Genomic DNA, 19,657 nt, shown 5'->3' on the forward strand with positions numbered 1-19,657 from the left:
AACTTAAAGTAAAATAAAAAAAAAATTGATAAACTTCTAAAAAAAAAAAAGAAAAAGAAAAATCATGCATATGGTCTTAGCTCAAGCTTGGGCAGATGAAGCTCATGCTTGTAATCTTAATGATAACAAAGCTGGGGCAGAAGCTGTCCACGACACAGAACCCAGCTGGCAGTACCAGGATGCCAATGCCAGCCCAAACAGAGGTGGGGCAGATTAGATTATATGATAACTTGCTTGTTGGAAGGAATGAAAAAGGCTGTAATAAAACCTGTTAATTTTTCTAAAGTATGAGAAATCACCCAGGAGCCATGAGAATCCTGCCCTTTTCCAAGCTAGACTGGTGGAGGCTATGAATAAATAAACAAATTTAGACACTGAAAACCCTAAGGGCCAATCCATTCTGGCCATACATTTTATAAGTCAGGCTTCCCGAGACATCAGACAAAAACTCCCAAAATTAGATAAAGGTCCACAAACTCCCTTTCTTACATTGTTAAATACAGCCTTTAAGGTTTTCAGTAACTGCGAGGAAACATCAAAAATAAAAAAGGCTCAATTGGAGGAGGAAAAATGCTGTTGTCATGCTAATTACATGGTGGCAGCATTGGCGCATTCTTTCTCCTTAGCTAACAACCCCAAGGCTTGTCCCTATAATACTAATAGTATGGAGGCCTGTCATCGCTGCAGAAATCCAGGACACTGGAGTAGAGAATGTCCCAAACCTCTGGCTTACAAGCTGCTTTCAGGACCCTGTCTTCATTTCAAACAAGAGGGCCATTGGAAGAGCGATTGTCCCTCTTTCCCTCATGAGATGGGACCACCTCTTCTTTCTGTGCTGTCATAGCCACAACCTTGCCAACCTACCTGATGAGAAATTCCTGCAGAACGAGGACTAGGGCAAGGGCAAGGACAAGCACCTCTAACACTATTCCTGGGTTATGCTCAAGACTTTGAAAGTCATCCTCTAGATGACTGATGGGGCTGTGAGGCTATCCAGGCCCCTGTCTTTTCCACTTCTATGGATGAGCCTCAGATAAATCTGATCGTGGCTGAACAAGAAATAATGTTCCTCATAGATACAGGGTCCAACTTTAAACATTTATTGTAACCCAATGTGCCAGTCCTCCATTTCCCTCATGGGTATTGAAGGAAAACCCCAATGTAGCTGTTTCACACTGCCACTCCCTTGCAAAATGGAAAACTCATCCTTTAACTACTCCTTTTAGTCCTGCCAAGCTGCCCTGTTCCATTATTGGGTCATGACTTACTCACAAAATTACAAGCGAATTTACAGTTATAACCTCACCTTCTAGCTGTATTAACTCACACTTCACCAAAAGAGCCACTGCAGTCAATAGAACCTCACATTCTAAAACAAATGCCATTTGAGGTTTGGAATACATCTGCTCCTGGCCGCTCAATATCAGCTGTTTCTGTCATCATTCAGCTTAAAAATCCCAATGAGTTCCTCAGAATCCCCCAATATCCTTGAAACCAGAAGCATGAAAATAGTTAAAGCCTGAAATGACAAAATTTTTAGCCCATGGATTACTGAGCTCATGCAACTCACCTTGCAACACTCCTATTTGAGCTGTAAGTAAACCAGATGGCTCCTGCCAACTAGTACAGGACCTTAGAATAATTAATGAAGCTGTTATTCCTATTCATCCTATCGTCCCAAACCCTTACACCCTTTGTAGATAAATTCCATCTACCACAGCTTGGTTTACTGTACTTGATCTTAAGAACACCTTTTCCTGCATTCCTATATACCCAGATAGCTATTTTTTTTTTTTTTTTTTTTGCCTTTGAAAGGCAAAACCCAGATACTCAAATAACTCAACAGTTAACTTGGACAGTTCTGTGCCAGGGATTCAGAGATAACCCCCGCCTTTTTGGACAGGCCCTAGCTAAAGACCTGTCCACCCTGCAGCCTCTCCCAGATAGCAATATACTCCAGTATGTGGATGACCTACTAATCTGTAGTCCTACCAAGGCTGTTTCAGACCAAAATACAGTATTTGTAACTAAACAAATTTGCTAACTGTGGGTACAAAGAAGTTTCTTCCAAAGTACAAATATCTGCACAAAGCATTCAATTTTGGGGTCTTAGTTTAACCCCCAGTACAATGAGCCTTTCTAGTGCCAGTAAAGATCTTACCTTAAAATGACAACCCCTGTAACTAAACAATAGCTTTGGTCCTTTTTGGGTATGTCTGGGTTTTGCAGAATATGGATTCCTTCCTTCAGAATAATAACAAAACCTTCATATGAAGCCCTCAAGGGAACTGAGGAACAACCTCTCTTAGGGACTAATGACATGAAGCATGCTCTAAACACTTTAAAACAGGCTTTAATCTCAGCCCAGCCTTAGCCCTAAAAGATCTGACTAAGTTCTTGCTTTTGTATGTACATGAATGAAGGGGAATTGCTTTGGGTGTCTTAGCCCAAAATCTGGGGCCCTCTAAGTGCCCTATAACATATTTTTCAAAATTTTAGACTTGATTTCCCAGGGATGGCCCCCTGCTTTGAAGCTTTAGCATCAGTGGCCCTCTTAGTCCAAAAAAGCCTCAAGCTATATTACTTGCCCCTCCTGGAATCTTACGGTTTTGTAGCACCACCAATAATTATTTAATCCATGTTCAAGCTTTGGCCCTGTGCCACCTTGATAATTCTCTTCATTATGGTGATTGTATTTTGGGAACAATAGCTCCCACCCAAATCACTGTCTTGAACATAACTCCAATTCAGAATTTCATTCTAGAAAAAAAGGGCCCTAGGATTTAATGTGGCCACAGTTGTGGGAACTGTCTCACTCTTGCCACTTGGAGGTTTTACTTACCATGAAATCACACTACAAGAACTTACCGCCTCCCTTGACATAGCCTTAGCAAAAACTGGCACAAGTATATCAGCGATAGAAAAGTCTTTAGACTCACTAGGAGGAATGGTTTTTTGTAATGGACAAGCTCAAAATTACCTCCTAGCTGAACAAAGAGGAATCTGTGCTGTCATCAACAAAACTTGTTGCACCTACATTAATGTATCTGAAAAAATGGAAACTGATACACACACTTTTCCAAAGTAACCAAGACTGGACCAAAACCTTTATTGAAATCACATGGCTTCTTCCATTCTTTAGACCTGTATTCCTTGTCATTCTTCTTTTAATATTTTGTCTCTGCCTTTTTATTGCTCTCATTAAGTTTATATCTTCCAGATCACAAAGATTCCACCTATAATGGCTATGCAATATCAATACCAGCCCGCAACAGCAACTTCCACTTATATGGGGTCTCTTGACGGAATCTGGTCTTCCCCCATGAACGAGTTTTTCATAGCCCCTCATTCCTTTCATGACAAAGAGCAGAAAAGGGAAAAATGCAACTTATCCCTACATTTTGCCTCAGTTTCTTCTTTTAGTTCAACAAGATATTGTAGGATTTCCTACTTAGTTTAGCTAAGAGCCAGGTCCTTGTCACACGGCCAATATTAGCCTCGCAGACACTTTGAAGGGTGAGAATAGTGGAATTCATTGGGCAAAAAGGAAAAAATGAGAAACAGGGACTCTCCACACAGCCAAAGTCCCTGTTAGTGTGCTTCCCACCTCACAGATTGAATTCCAGGTTCCACCCAGGAAGAGGAGGGGCCAGACTCCACCCAACTGCAAAAGGCACGAACTTCTGTGACTCCACCCCAGTGTGCATTCCTCTCAGTGCACAGGCTGGTTGGAGTTTCTCTGGGGACCCCTTCCCACCTGGCTGTCTCAAAAAGAAATGTTTGTAAATTATATGAAGGACTTATATAAGAATATATAAAGAACTCAACTCCATAATAAATAAGAAGACAAAAGAGTACAATTAAAGAGTGGCAAAAGACTTGCACAGACACTTCTATGAAGACATATAAATGAATTATAAACATAGGAAAAGGTGCTCAAAGTTCTTAGTCATTAAGTAAATGTAAATTAAAACCACAATGAGATACCAATACACATGCACAAGAATGGCTATCATAAAAAATGAGGGCCGGGCGCAGTCGCTCATGCCCGTAATCCCAGCACTTTGGGAGGCCGAGGCGGGTGGATCACGAGGTCAGGAGATCAAGACCATCCGGGCCAACACAGTGAAACCCCGTCTCTATTAAAAATACAAAAAAATTAGCCGAGCGTGTCAGCAGGCACCTGTAGTCCCAGCTACTGAGGAGGCTGAGGCACGAGAATCACTTGAACCCAGGAGGTGGAGGTTGCAGTGAGTGGAATTCACACCACTGCACTCCAGCATGAGTAACAGAGATAGACTGTCTCTAAAAAAAAAAGAAAAAGAAAAAAAAATCAAGTGTGGTTACGTGACTATATTATAGTTCATGGAATGTTAAGAGATAATGTCACCTTTTCCAGGCCTGGCCCATAACACCTTCACACAAGTATTCTTACATTTTTCAATTCCAGCTAACTGGACTGGAAACAACCCCAGTGTTACATGGTAGAAATAGAATTCCTGGTCATCCTGTTGACCTGTTTGCCTGCCTGGGAATATAACATTCCAGTAATTTTTGTTTGTTTGTTTTTTGAGACAGAGTCTCACTCACTCTGTCCCCCAGGCTGGAGTGCAGTGGCATGATCTCAGCTCACTACAATCTCCACCTCCCAGGTTCTCCTGCCTCCTGAGTAGCTGGGATTACAGACGCATACCACCATGCCCAGCTAATTTTTGTATTTTTAGTAGAGATGTGGTTCACCATGTTGGCCAGGCTGGTCTCAAACTCCTGACCTCAAGTGATCCACCCACATCAGCCTCCCAAAGTGTTGGGATTATAGGCGTGAGCCACTGCGCCTGGCTCCAGTAATGTTATATGAACAAGAAATAAACTTCTATTCAATTTAAGTGAATATACATTTGGGATGTATTTGTTATAGCAATTTGTTCACCCTAATGAACTCAGAAATGAATACCTTTAAATGGGATTCTGACTAGCAAAAATTTAAAAATAGAGAGATGGGGCTTAGCCAGATGGATGGTAATATCACAAGGTGAAAAGACAGCCTACGTTTTTCGAAGGCAAACATTTGAAAAGCTAGTATCAGACCATTCAATCTAATCATATACCCGTTAATTAGACTGAATAGTCTAATACTAGCTTTTCAATATAAAATAACCAAGGAGTATATATATACACATATACACACACTATTTATTAAATAGTGTGTATTTATTAAATGGTTAAATTTGAAATCTTTAAAAGGCATATACGTGTGTATATATATATATATATATATACACACACACATATACACACACCCTTTGATTAGATTATATATGTATAGGTATACTATTTATACATATGAAATCTATATGTATATATAAAATCTACACAGATTTTATATATAGATAATAGAAAGACTAATGATAAAAGTAAAATGGGGATGAATTGGGGGATGTGATAGAGAAAGGTCTTACAAGAAATTTTTGTACTGGCAATATTGTATTTCATAATCTCAGTGGTGAGTAATGGAAGTTAATTCTATTTTTTTCTTAAAAATTTGCATATATGTTTTATGCAGGCTTCTATATGTACAATAAATTTTACTGTTTAAAAAAGTAAAAACATATCGATATTAAGTAGGTTCTATCCCAGGCATGTAAATATATTTAACTTATCACATTGAGCTAAAAGTAAAACATTGCATGTGTTTGGAAAATCATTTTATAAAGTTTAATTCCCTTTTATTATCTCAAATGAACTCTTGGAAAACTAGTTGTAAAAGGGAATGTCATCAATGTGTTAATGGACTTTCTCTTCTTGAGAAATTATGGACACATTCCTATTAAGGTAAAGAATATGATAAGGAAGCTCAACATCATCACTCATTAACAAGAACTTAGAGGTACTGAATAATGCCATAAGAATTGAAAAAAAGGTGTAATCAGAGGGGAAAAAAGAGAAAAAAGTATCACTATTTGAGATTATATGATTATCTACATGTATAACAAGCTTAATCAAAAGACAAACTATTAGAATTAATAAGAGAGTCCAGCAGGGTTGTTGGATGTAAGATAAAAGTAGAAAAATGAACAATGTTCCTGTATACCAAAAATAACTAAATAGAAAATGTAATTAACATTTAGATACTTTTCATAATAACCACACAATAAACTACATAGTATTCAGCAATTAACGAAGGCTATGTAAGATCTTTCCAGAGAAAATTTGAACTATTTAAAAGGCATAAAATGAGATCAGAATAAATGAAGACCCTTACAGTATCAATGAATAGGATGATATAATAAAGATGACAATTCCTCCTAACACAAATTTATAATTTTAATACAATCCCAATCAAAATTGCAATTGGCTTTTTTTAGAAGAGAGCTCAGTTGATTGTAAAATTTATATGGGAGAACAGACGTCTATAAAGAAGGATGTGTGCATGTGTGTACACTTAATTTATATTACTTGAACAAATACATCATTAGAACAGAATAAACAAAGAGAGCTCAAATATAAACCTATATTTGTGACATCAGCAAGATGGCAGAATAGGAAGTTCCAGCCCTCATTGCCTCACAGAAACATTTATTTAACAATGATATAGGGAGACTTTATGAGGCTTAAAAATGCCTTTATGAGAATTCCAGAATCCAGTTGAGAAGAATTGTAGTACCCTAGAGCAGCACAAAACTGAGAATAGCTATGTTGAAATGGTGGCCATAGCAGAAAAACACAAAAAAGAATTGACATGTCCCATTTAACTTAAACTATTCAAAGATCCCTGCTTGACGCCCTGCAAACACAACTTCTGCTTCACCTGCCTCAGGCAGTTGGAGAGGGAGAACTAGCATGTCCTTTCACTTGTTCCCAGTGTCTTGACATCTCTTGGATCCAGAGGATCTAGACCAATATGGCCCTGGGGAAGCTAGTGGCTGAGATCACAGTGATGACACTTGTGACACTTGTGCTGAGCATGTTCTGCATGGAGTTCTATGAAAAGATGAGTCTGAATGTGGCCACAAGTAATAACCTCCTCATATTTTCTAATGACCTGTGGAGCCTCTTATGGAGATATGTCCAGATGAGACCACCAGAGAATGCCAAGACATTAATCTCTGTTCCTCCTGTCCTAGGGTCCTCGTGCTTCACCTCTGGCTGACATTATTAGGAGTTGAAAGTGGGAGAAATAAAAAGATGGATTGCGGGTGTTTGCAGAGAATCTGCATTTCATGAAGAACCTTTCCTAGTATCATCAGATCTCTGGTTCTGAGTGGTGAGCCTCAAGAGCGTATGTGAAGTCACTGCTAGCACAGAAACTAGGACGGTTCTCCATGTGAGCCCAAACTTAGAAGTGGGGATTTTCCTGGACTGTGACCTGAAAACCATTTCATTTTTCAACACGTCTGATAGTTTCCATTTATTCACCTTCACAATATGTCTATCTTGGAGCCTCTATTTTCACTCTTTGGACCTGGGATCCCAAGAGAGGGTGAGAACATGCAACACATGAAGATCTGTACCAAGGAAGGTATCGATGTCATAATTTGACCACAGTCCTCTCAGGGAGCCAGGAAAAGAGGAATATGCAGGATGAAACTGTCAGATCATACACTTTCATCTTTTTTGACATTACCAGGAGTTTATAAGTTTGAGAAACCATTTGTTTTACTAAAAAGGAAGCTTTAAGATTAGAATTGCAAAAATAAACAATTGATTTTAAAACCTAACTTAATTGTAAATACTGGTCTTTGCTCAAGATAAAATTGGACCAAACCCAAGAGGCCCACAGTGTGAGGGCTAGTTTTGTTTCTCCTCTTGTGTGTTTCCCAGGGCTACCTCCGTGAACTGCTGCTTCCTCATGTAACCAAGAACTTGTTTCTGAAGAGTGCCTAGGTTGTCTGTTCATAGGCTCAACCCCCGTGGACTTGAGAAGGAAGGTTTCCTGTGTATGCCCCACATGGGGAGGAGAATCACAGGGCTGGAGATATTCAGAGGGACATGGTGTCCAAGGATTAAGTTGGGAAATGAAGGAAAAGTCCAGGAAGAGTCATTTGTTGGCATGAACTGAAAGTTGATTCAAAGAGCACAATAAGGCAAATTTTCAGCCTCTTTTCCCTCAAAATTAAATAAAATAAAAAATAGACCTATGTTTAACCCAAGAACCTAAGGTATGATTTTTAAAATGTCTCCATAAAGCCATGGGGAAATAATGGATTGTTTCACAGATGGTGTTTGGGATACTGACTGTCCATATGAAAAAGTCAATAAAACGCAAACATAGCATTTTAGCATACACAAGACTAGTCTTCAGAAGAATAACTACCTTAAAGTGAAAGGTAGATCCAGCTCTAAGATGGCTGAATAGGAACAGCTCCAGTCTACAGCTCCCAGCATGAGCGACGCAGAAGATGGGTGATTTCTGCATTTCCAACTGAGGTACTGGGTTCATCTCATTGGGACTGGTTAGACAGTGGTTGCAGCCCATGGAGTGTGAGCTGAAACAGAGTGGGGCATCACCTCACCTAGGAAGTGCAAGGGGTCAGGGAATTCCCTTTCCTAGCCAAGCAAAGCCATGACAGATGGTACCTGGAAAATCGGGACACTCCTGCCATAATACTGCGCTTTTCCAATGGTCTTAGCAAATGGCACACCAGAAGATTATATCCCATGCCTGGCTCGGTGGGCCCGACGCCCACGGAGCCTTGCTCACTGCTAGCACAGCAGTCCAAGATCGAACTGCCAGTCAGCAGCGAGGCTGGGGGAGGAGCATCCACCTTTGCTGAGGCTTGACTAGGTAAACAATGTGGCTGGGAAGCTCGGACTGGGTGGAGCCCACTGCAGCTCAAGGAGAACTCCCTGCCTCTGCAAACTCCACCTCTGGGGGCAGAGCATAGCTGAACAAAAGGCAGCAGAAACTTCTGCAGACTTAAACATCCCTGTTTGACAGCTTTGAAGAGAACAGTGGTTCCCTTAGCATGGAGTTTGAGATCTGAGAATGGACAGACTGCCTCCTCAACTGGGTCCCTGACCCACAAGTAGCCTAACTGGGAGACACCTCCCAGTAGGGGCCGACTGACACCTCATACAGCTTGATGCCTCTCTGAGACAAAGCTTCCAGAGGAAGGATCAGGTAGCAACATTTGCTGTTCTGCAATATTTGCTGTTCTGCAATATTTGCTGTCCTGCAGCCTCTGCTGGTGCTACCCAGGCAAACAGGGTCTGGAGTGGACCTCCAGCAAACTCCAACAGACTTGAAGCTGAGGGTCCTGACTGTTAGAAGGGAAACTAACAAACAGAAAGGAATAGCATCAACAGAAAGGACATCCACACCAAAACCCCATCTGTAGGTCACCATCATCAAAGACCAAAGGCAGATAAAACCACAAAGATGGGGAGAAACCAGAGCAGAAAACCTGAGAACTCTAAAAACCAGACTGTCTCTTCTCTTCCAAAGGATTGCAGCTCCTTGCCAGCAACGGAGCAAAGCTAGACGGAGAATGACTTTGACAAGTTGACAGAAGTAGGCTTCAGAAGATCAGAAATAACAAACTTCTCCAAGCTAAAGGAGGATGTTTGAACCCCATCACAAGGAAGCTAAAAACGTTGAAAAAAGATTAGAAGAATGGCTAACTAGAATAAGCAGTGTAGAGAAGACCTTAAATGACCTGATGGAGCTGAAAACCATGGCACGAGAACTACATGACAAATGCACAAGCTTCAGAGCCGATTCAATCAACTGGAAGAAAGGGTATCAGTGATTGAAGATGAAATAAATGAAATGAAGCGAGAAGAGAAGTTTAGAGAAAAAAGAGTAAAAAGAAATGAACAAGACCTCCAAGAAATATGGGACTATGTGAAAAGACCAAATTGACGTTTGATTGGTGTACCTGAAAGTGATGGGGAGAATGGAACCAAGTTGGAAAACACTCTGCAGGATATTATCCAGGAGAACTTCCCCAACCTAGCAAGGCAGGCCAACATTCAAATTTAGGAAATACAGAGAACACCACAAAGATACTCCTCCAGAAGAGCAGCCCCAAGAAACATAATTGTCAGATTCACCAAGGTTGAAATGAAGGAAAAAATGTTAAGGGCAGCAAGAAAGAAAGGTCAGGTTACCCACAAAGTGAAGCCCATCAGACTAACAGCGGATCTGTCAGCAAAAACTCTACAAGCCAGAAGAGAGTGGGGGCCAATATTCAACATTCTTAAAGAAAATAATTTTCAACCCAGAATTTCATATCCAGCCAAACTAAGCTTCATAATTGAAGGAGAAATAAAATCCTTTATAGACAAGCAAATGGTGAGAGATTTTGTCACCACCAGGCCTGCCTTACAAGAGCTCCTGAAGGAAGCACTAAACATGGGAAGGAACAACCAGTACCAGCCACTGCAAAAACATGCCAAATTGTAAAGACCATTGATGCTCTGAAGAAACTGCACCAACTAATGGGCAAAATAACCAGCTAACGTCATAATGACAGGATCAAATTCACACATAACAATATTAACCTTAAATGTAAATGAGCTAAATGCCCCAATTAAAAGACACAGACTGGCAAATTGGATAAAGAGTCAAGACCCATCAGTGTGCTGTATTCAGGAGACCCATCTCACATGCAAAGACACACATAGGCTCAGAATAAAGGGATGGAGGAAGATCTACCAAGCAAATGGAAAACAAAACAAAGCAAAAAAGCAGGGGTTTCAATCCTAGTCTGTGATAAAATAGACTTTAAACCAACAAAGATCAAAAGAGACAAAGAAGGCCATTACATAATGGTAAAGAGATGAATTCAACAAGAAGAGCTATTTTAAATATATATGCACCCAATACAGGAGCACCCAGATTCATAAAGCAAGTCCTTAAAGACCTACAAAGAGACTTAGACTCCCACACAATAATAATGGGAGACTTTAACACCTCACTGTCAACATTAGACAGATCAATGAGACAGAAAGTTAACAAGGATATCCAGGAATTGAACTCAGCTCTGCACCAAGCAGACCTAATAGACATCTACAGAACTCTCCACCCCAAATCAGCAGAATACAATTCTTCTCAGCACCACATCACACTTATTCCAAAATTGACCACATAGTTGGAAGTAAAGCACTCCTCAGCAAATGTAAAAGAATAGAAATCTTAACAAACTCTCTCTCAGACCATAGTGCAATCAAATTAGAAGTCAGGATTAAGAAACTCACTCAAAACAGCACAACTACATGGAAACTGAACAACCTGCTCCTGAATGACTACTGGGTAAATAATGAAATTAAGGCAGAAATAAATATGTTCTTTGAAACTAATGAGAACAAAAACACAATGTACCAGAATTTCTGAGACACAGCTAAAGCACTGTTTAGAGGGAAGTTTATAGCACTAAATGCCCACAGGAGAAAATGGGAAAAATCTATCATTGACACCCTAACATCACAATTAAAAGAAATAGAGAAGCAAGAACAAATTCAAAAGGTGGCAGAAAGCAAGAAATAACTAAGATCAGAGCAGAACTGAAGGAGACAGAGACACAAAAAATCCTTCAAAAAAATCAATGAATCTGGGAGCTGGTTTTTTGAAAACATCAACAAAATTGATAGACAGCTAGCAAGACTAATAAAGAAGAAAAGAGAAAAGAATCATATAGACACAATAAAAAACGATAAAGGGGATATCACCACCAATCCCACAGAAAACAAACTACCATCAGAGAATACTATAAACACCTATATGTGAATAACCTAGAAAATCTAGAAGAAATGGATAAATTCCTGGACACATACGCCCTCCCAAGACTAAACCAGGAAGAAGTTGAATCCCTGAATAGACCAATAACAGGCTCTGAAATTGAGGCAATAATTAATAGCCTACCAAACAAAAAAAGTCCAGGACCAGATGGATTCACAGCCTAATTCTACCAGAGGTACAAAGAGGAGTTGGTACCATTCCTTCTGAAACTATGCCAATCAATAGAAAAAGAAGGAATCCTTCCTAACTCATTTTATGAGGCCAGCATCATCCTGATACCAAAGCCTGGCAGAGGCACAATGAAAAAAGAGAATTTTAGGCCAACATCCGTGATGAACATCAATGCAAAAATCCCAATAAAATACTGGCAAACCAAATCCAGCAGCACATCCAAAAGCTTATCCACCATGATCAAGTGGGCTTCATCCTTGGGATGCAAGGCTGCTTCAACATATGCAAATCAATAAACATAATCCATTATATAAACAGAACCAAAGACAAAAACCACATGATTATCTTAATAGATGGAACCAAAAAAGTGCCCGCATTGCCAAGATAATCCTAAGCAAAAAGAACAAAGCTGGAGGCATCACACTACCTGACTTCAAACTATACTACAAGGCTACAGTAACCAAAACAGCACGGTACTGGTACCAAAACAGAGATATAGGCCAATGGAACAGAACGAGAGCCCTCAGAAATAATACCACACATCTGCAACCATCTGATCTTTGACAAACCTGACAAAAACAAGAAATGAGGAAAGGATTCCCTATTTAATAAATGGTGCTGGGAAAAGTGGCTAGCCATATGTAGAAAGATGAAACTGGATCCCTTCCTTTCACCTTGTAAAAAAATTAATTAAAGATGGATTAAAGACTTAAATGTTAGACCTAAAACCATAAAAATCCTAGAAGAAAACCTAGGCAATACCACTCAGGACATAGGCACGGGCAAGGACTTCATGACTAAAACACCAAAAGCAATGGCAACAAAAGCCAAAATTGATAAATGTGATCTAATTAAACTAAAGAGCTTCTGTACAGCAAAAGAAACTATCATCAGAGTGAACTGGCAACCTACAGAATGGGAGAAAATTTTTGCAATCTACCTATCTGACAAAGGGCTAATATCCAGAATCTACAAAGAACTTAAACAAATTTACAAGAGAAAAGTCAAATGACCCAATCAAAAAGCGGGTGAAGGATATAAACAGACACTTCTCAAAAGAAGACATTTATGCAGCCAAAAAACACATGAAAAAATGCTCATCATCACTGGCCATCAGAGAAATGCAAATCAAAATCACAATGAGACACCATCTCACACCAGTTAGAATGGCAATCATTAAAAAGTCAGGAAACAACAGGTGCTGGAGAGGGTGTGGAGAAATAGGAACAGTTTTACACTGTTGGTGGGAGTGTAAATTAGTTCAACCATTGTGGAAGACAGTGTGGCGATTCCTCATGGATCTAGAACTGGAAATACCATTTGACCCAGCATCCCATTACTGGGTACATACCCAAAGGATTATAAATCATGCTAGTATAAGGACACATGCACACGTATGTTTATTGCAGCACTATTCACAATAGCAAAGACTTGGAAACAACCCAAATGTCCATCAATGATAGACTAGATTAAGAAAATGTGGCACATATACACCCTGGAATACTATGCAGCCATAAAAAGGATGAGTTCATGTTCTTTGTAGGGACATGAATGAAGCTGGAAACCATCATTCTGAACAAACCGTCGCAAGGTCAGAAAACCAAATACCACATGTTCTCACTCATAGGTGGGAATTGAACAATGAAAACACTTGTGAGAGGTGAAGCCCGCTTGGCTTCTTGTTCTGTAGGGACTTGGAGAACTTTTCTGTCTACCTAGAGGATTGTAAACACACCAATCAGTGCTCTGAGTCTAGTTAAAGGTTTGTAAATGCATCAATCAGCACTCGGTAAAAACACACCAATCAGCGCTCTATGTCTAGCTAAAGGTTTGTAAACGCACCAATCAGCACTCTGTAAAAACGCACCAATCAGCACTCTGTAAAATGGACCAATCAGCACTCTGTAAAATGGACCCATCAGCAGGATGTGGGTGGGGCCAAATAAGGGAATAAAAGCTAGCCACCTGAGCCAGGAGGGGCAGCCAGCAGTGGCAACCAGCTGGGGTCTCCTTCCATGCTGTGGAAGCTTTGTTCTTTTGCTCTTCACAATAAATCTTGCTGCTGCTCATTCTTTGGGTCCACACCACCTTTAAGAGCTGTGCCACTCACTGGGAAGGTCTGCAGCTTCATTCCTGAAGTCAGCGAGACCACAAACCTACCAGAAGGAAGAAACTCTGGACACATCTGAACATCTGAAGGAACAAACTCTGGACACACCACCTTTAAGAGCTGTAACACTCACCATGAGGGTCTGTGGTTTCATTCTTGAAGTCAGCAAGACCAAGAACCCACTGGAAGGAACTAATTCTGGAGATACCTGGACACAGGGTGGGGAATATCACACATCGGTTCCTGTCGTGGGGTCGGGGGAGAGGGGAGGGATAGCATTAGGAGAAATATCTAATGTTAAATGACGAGTTAATGGGTGCAGCACACCAACATGGCATTGTATACATATGTAACAAACCTGCATGTTGTGCACATGTACCCTAGAACTTAAAGTATAATTAAAAAAAAATAAGAAAAAAACAAAGTGAAAGGTAAAACTCTAAAGCAGATGTAAGAGGTAACTTTGTGGCCTAGGGCTGGGGAAATACTTCTTCAACAAGACTCCTGAAAAATACAAACAATAAAGTGAAAAATTGATATATCTGAGTTCATCGAAATTAACTATAAAGACGGCAGCTGTGGTGCTGGTGGCGACGCAGTTGCTGCAGGGATCGGGTTCTCGGGGCTGCCCGCGGCTAAGGTGAGCCACAGGTGAGCCAGGCCTTGGCCTGGGACTGGGGCAGCTGGAGTCTTTCCAGAGGCTCTATCTTTGGGTTCTGCAGGCTCATGTCCTCAGGCAGGCTCACCCCTGGAGACACCAGCCTCATCCCAGAGGCGATGGGGGTGCTTCCCAGCTTTGCATCTCCACCCCTGGCTCACAGTCCCATTTGTCTCTCCTCTCCTCCTTGGCTACTGGGTACTATCCTGCCCTCACCTCTTCAGCAGAGGCCATGTCTCATCTCTCTGCCTCTGCCCCACTCTCCTTTGGCATTTTTCCCTTGTGTCCAGAATTTGTGGGTTCTTGGTCTCACTGACTTCAAGAATGAAGCCGGGGACCCTTGTGGTGAGTGCTACAGTTCTTAAAGTTGGTGTGTCCGGAGTTTGTTCCTTCAGATGTTCAGATGTGTCTGGAGTTTCTTCCTTCCGGTGGGTTTGTGGTCTCACTGACTTCAAGAGTGAAGCCGCGGACCCTTGTGGTGAGTGTTACAGCTCTTAAAAGCAGTGCATCTGGATTTGTTCATTCCTTCCAGTGGGTTCGTGGTGTCACTGGCTTCAGGAGTGAAGCTGCAGACCTTCATGGTGAGTGTTACAGCTCATAAAGTTAGTGCGGACCCAAAGAGTGAGCAGCAGCAAGATTTATTGCAAAGAGCGAAAGAACCAAGCTTTCATAGCATGGAAGGGGACCCGAATGGGTTGCCGCTGCTGGCTCGGGTGGCCTGCTTATATTCCCTTATCTGGCCCCACCCAAATCCTACTGATTGGTACATTTTACAGAGAGCTGGTCCATTTTACAGAGAGCTGATTGGTCCGTTTTGACAGGGTGCTGATTGGTGCGTTTACAAACCTCTAGCTAGACACAGAGTGCTGATTGGTGCGTTTACAATCCTTTAGCTAGACACAAAAGTTCTCCAAGTCCCCACCCGACCCAGAAGCCGGCTGGTTTCACCTCTCAATGGCTCCAGCCGCTGCCTCTCCCTGCACACCTCCTCGCCAGCAGAGGGAGCCCGCTCCAGCCTTGGCAAGCCCCAGAGAGGGGCCGCCACAGTGCAGCCGCGGGCTGAAGGGCTCCTCAAGCACGGCCAGACTGGAGGCGGAGAGCGAGTGAGGGCTGCTAGTACATTGTCACCTCTCACCCTCAGAAGGCTGAGCTGGTGGGGGCTGAGTTCTGTTACGTGTGACAGCAACGTCTAGGCCAAGCTTGTCCAACTTGCGGCCCACCAGCTGCATACAACTCTGGACGGCTTTGAATGCAGCCCAACACAAATTCGTAAACTTTCTTAAAACATAGTGCGTTTTTTTTGTTTTTTTTTTTTTGTTTTTTTAAGCTCATCAGCTATCATTAACGTCAGTGTATTTTACGTGTGGCCAAAGGCAATTCTTCCATTGTGGCCCAGGGAAACCAAACTGAAAGATTGGACGCTCCTGGTCTAGGCTCTCGATTGCTGAACTCGTTTCCTCTCAGCTGTTGATTCCCGACATTTGAGGACTTTTTCTGTCCCCTCTGCTCTTCCTGCCCAAGAGGCAATATCTGCCTTTCCCCACAAGGGTGCGTTCATTCAGGCAACAGGTATGTATTACCCTTCACTACATAATGAGCACTACTTCAGGGGTATGGAGGTGACCAGAGAGAGTTGCTGCCCACAGGAAATGGAGACAGACAATAGTGTGAACAAAATATTGCCAATCATGAAAATGGTTTGAAGTAAATAAGCAGAGTTTAGTGGCAGAAAATAGTAGGAAAGCCTAGACAGACTGAGTGATAGCCCCTCGTCAAGGTGACATTTAAGCCAAGAGATGAAGAATGAAAGAAGGGGAGGCCACATGAAAAAGGCAAGCCCTGGAATAGTGAGAACAGAAGCTTTGGAGGTGATGAGCCCGGTGTGTTCTGGGAATTGATGAAAGAGTCGGAGTGACTGGGACCCGTAGGGGTGGGAGGTTCAGGAAATGAGTGTGGAGAAAGAGACACAAGGCCTTCAAAGCAGATTAATAAGGGGTGTGGCTTCCACCTAGACTTCAGTGACACTGCTAAATGGCAGAGCTGTTCTAAGTGTTTTATCTGTATGAACTGTGCTTCAGTGAGTTTTGGTTGTAAGCCCTGTTTTACAGAGATGGCAATTAATTAATTAAGACCCAACGTACTGAATCAGCTTGCCTCAGGGTCCCTTGGCTGAGCCAGGATCACTCCTCTATGTTGTCTTTCAAGATATGTAGAAAGAAATCCTTTAGAAAGGCAAATGTCGATTTCTAATGCAGACAAAACATAACTAACTGCACTAAGTGGTCATCATAGGCTCAGTTGTCTCAATTTTGTGGTACTGGGTCAGTTTCTCTGTTTTAGGTTTGGATTCCCTGCATACAGACACTTTAGAAGTGATGGCACCTCTCCCAACATCCCCATGCCCCACTTCTGTCTTACCTGGAGTACCTAAGCTTGTTTTTCCTACAGTCAATGGACAGGCAAAGTTTGAAACCAAAGTTACTATGTTGGATAATGGGCTTTGTGTGGCATCTTAAAATAAGTTTGGAAGCTTTTATATGGCAGGAAGTAAATACTTTTGCTAATATTGTGGGTGGTCTCCTTGTTTTAACATGTACATGCTTTAGCTGACTCTCAGTTGCAATTAACGTGTCAATTATGAATTGTACTCTGAGTAGATGTATGCTAGAAAATCCAAAAACTTAGTAACCAAAATATCAACAGTGGTCATTTTTGTTGGTGGCATTTAGGATGGGTTCCCTCTTCCCCCCACTTTTAAAAATCCTTTCTGTAATTCTAAAAGTTTTCTACCACAGACATGAAGTGTATGGCTTCATAAATGTTGACCTACGTATATACCTGTGAAGCCACCATTACAATGAAGATAATGAGTATATCCGTCACCCTCATATAATTAAATCTGGTTATTAAGTCATTGACAATTTTAAAAGGTATCTCTTGACTAAATCTTATTTTGAACATCTGATTTAACCTGCGAATTTTCTTTATATTACTAGTTCTTATTAATTCAGGATCAAGATACAAAGCAAAATATCATGGTGAAATTGCGCACTCTTTGGAAAGTTGGCATTTTCAGTCAGTTGTCTAATTTGTAGTTTTTGAGACAATACTATAGAAAGATGTTTCAAGTTTTTCTTTTTTAGAATGGTTATTTTAATACATTATTAAGTTGCTAAGTTAATGCTAATAAAAGACCTTTAAGTTTTAAAAAAAAGCATAGAAAGAGTTAGCAAATACATGACACACTGGGAGAAAATATTTGTGGCATTTAAAACCAACACGGGGCCGTGTGCGATGGCTCACGCCTGTAATCTCAACACTTTGGGAGGGGGAGGCAGGAGGATCACTTGAGCCCAGGAGTTCAAGACCAGCTGAGCAACATAGTGGGACCTCATTTCTACAAAAAAATTTAAAATTAGCTGTGCACAGTGGTGTGCACCTATAGTCCCAGCTACTTGGGAGGCTGAGGTAGGAGGATCACTTGAGCCTGAGAGTTTGAGGCTGCAGTGAGCCGTGATTGCACCACTGTACTCCAGCCTGGGTAACACAGTGAGGCTGCTCTGTCTCATAAGTAAATAAATAAATACATAAACAAACAAAACCAACAAGGAATTTGCATTAGAATATACAAAGAATTCAAAATCAACAGGGCCAGAAAACTAATAGAAAAATGGCAAAGGATATAAATAAGCAGTTCACACTCAAATGACCAACATGTAGAGATAATACCAATCTCACTAATAATCAGAGGTACACAAATTAAACCAATGAGCTACCACCTGACGTCAATATGGCAAAACTTTTTATAAAGGCATATCATTCCAAACTGGAGGTGGAAATAAGGAAACAGGAATGCTTAGCCTACTGGAAGGAGTATAAACTGTGCTTGTGAAACTCATTTATGTCTGTCTTATGATTCTACTTCTGGATAACGATCCCAAAGAAATTCTCACACAGTTCCATAAGAGGACATATTCAAGAATACTCACCGTGCCATTTCTCTACCAGGGAGTCAGAGACACTGTCCACTCCACCTTCTAGTGTGTATTCCTCTATTACATAGGTTGGCAAGTTAAAAACTACATTTTCCAGACACCTCTGCCGCTAAGGTTCAGCAAATCATATGCATTCTTGTGAGAAAGGGAAGGCAGAAGTAAGGTAATCTGCCACTTCTCCCTTTCTGCTGGCAAGCATTGTTGTGGACCGGTTTGATTTTACTGTACTAGTGTTAGCAAACGTTACAATGACAAGGCACTGACAGATGTCAATAGGCAGAATGCTGGACATCCGTTTTGCTGGGGTGGATGGTAGAGGTGTAGTGTGTTTCTGGAACAGCAGCTGCCTCCTGATCAGGGCAGTCTCAGGATAATAGTCAAGGCAGCTACTGCTATTAGAAGAGAGAATCGCTCCCTCAGTGACTTTGAGTCTTTCCTAGATTGTTTCCTTCAGCATTCTCTATGATTCTGTAATGCATCCCTTTCTATTTAAAGTTAATTTTCTTTGCATTTAAACTACAGTTTGATTGATTCCACCAGAATGCAAGAAATTTGTTAATATTCTTCTGTTCTACATTTTACAAAGTTCACTTACCGTTAAACTTCCATCTCAATTGTTCATTCTATCAGGCAAGTCTACTCTCTCTGTATCTCACAGTATTTTGTATTTGTATTGTAATTACTTGCTTACCTATCTGTCTTTCTCCATTAGAAAATGAACTCTTTGAGGCCAGAGATGGAATCTTATTCATTTTTGTAATCCTGGCTCTTAGCATTACAGCCATCTTCCCTCCCAACTAAGGGCCTTTGCATATGCTATACCACCTGCCTGGGAAACCCTCCTACTTCTTTTCATCTAGTTAACTCTTAGTCATGTTTCTTATTCAGCTGGATCATCTTGAGATTGAACTATACTGTTCAGTATAGTAGTCACTAACTGTATGTGGCTATTTCCATTTTTTATTTTATAATTTTATTTAAAT

General features: G+C 41.0%; 1 annotated feature.

Annotated features, from left to right (window-relative positions):
• Nucleotides 304-869: an enhancer, noted in NCBI's record as "OCT4-NANOG hESC enhancer chr11:13493470-13494035 (GRCh37/hg19 assembly coordinates)". NCBI's record gives its function as "activates a minimal SCP1, AML or CMV promoter by ChIP-STARR-seq in naive and primed H9 embryonic stem cells {active_cell/tissue: H9 hESC(naive and primed)}" and the evidence as "EXISTENCE:reporter gene assay evidence [ECO:0000049][PMID:30033119]".

The sequence above is a fragment of the Homo sapiens genome, chromosome 11, assembly GCF_000001405.40.
Source record: "Homo sapiens chromosome 11, GRCh38.p14 Primary Assembly".
NCBI lineage: Eukaryota > Metazoa > Chordata > Mammalia > Primates > Hominidae > Homo > Homo sapiens.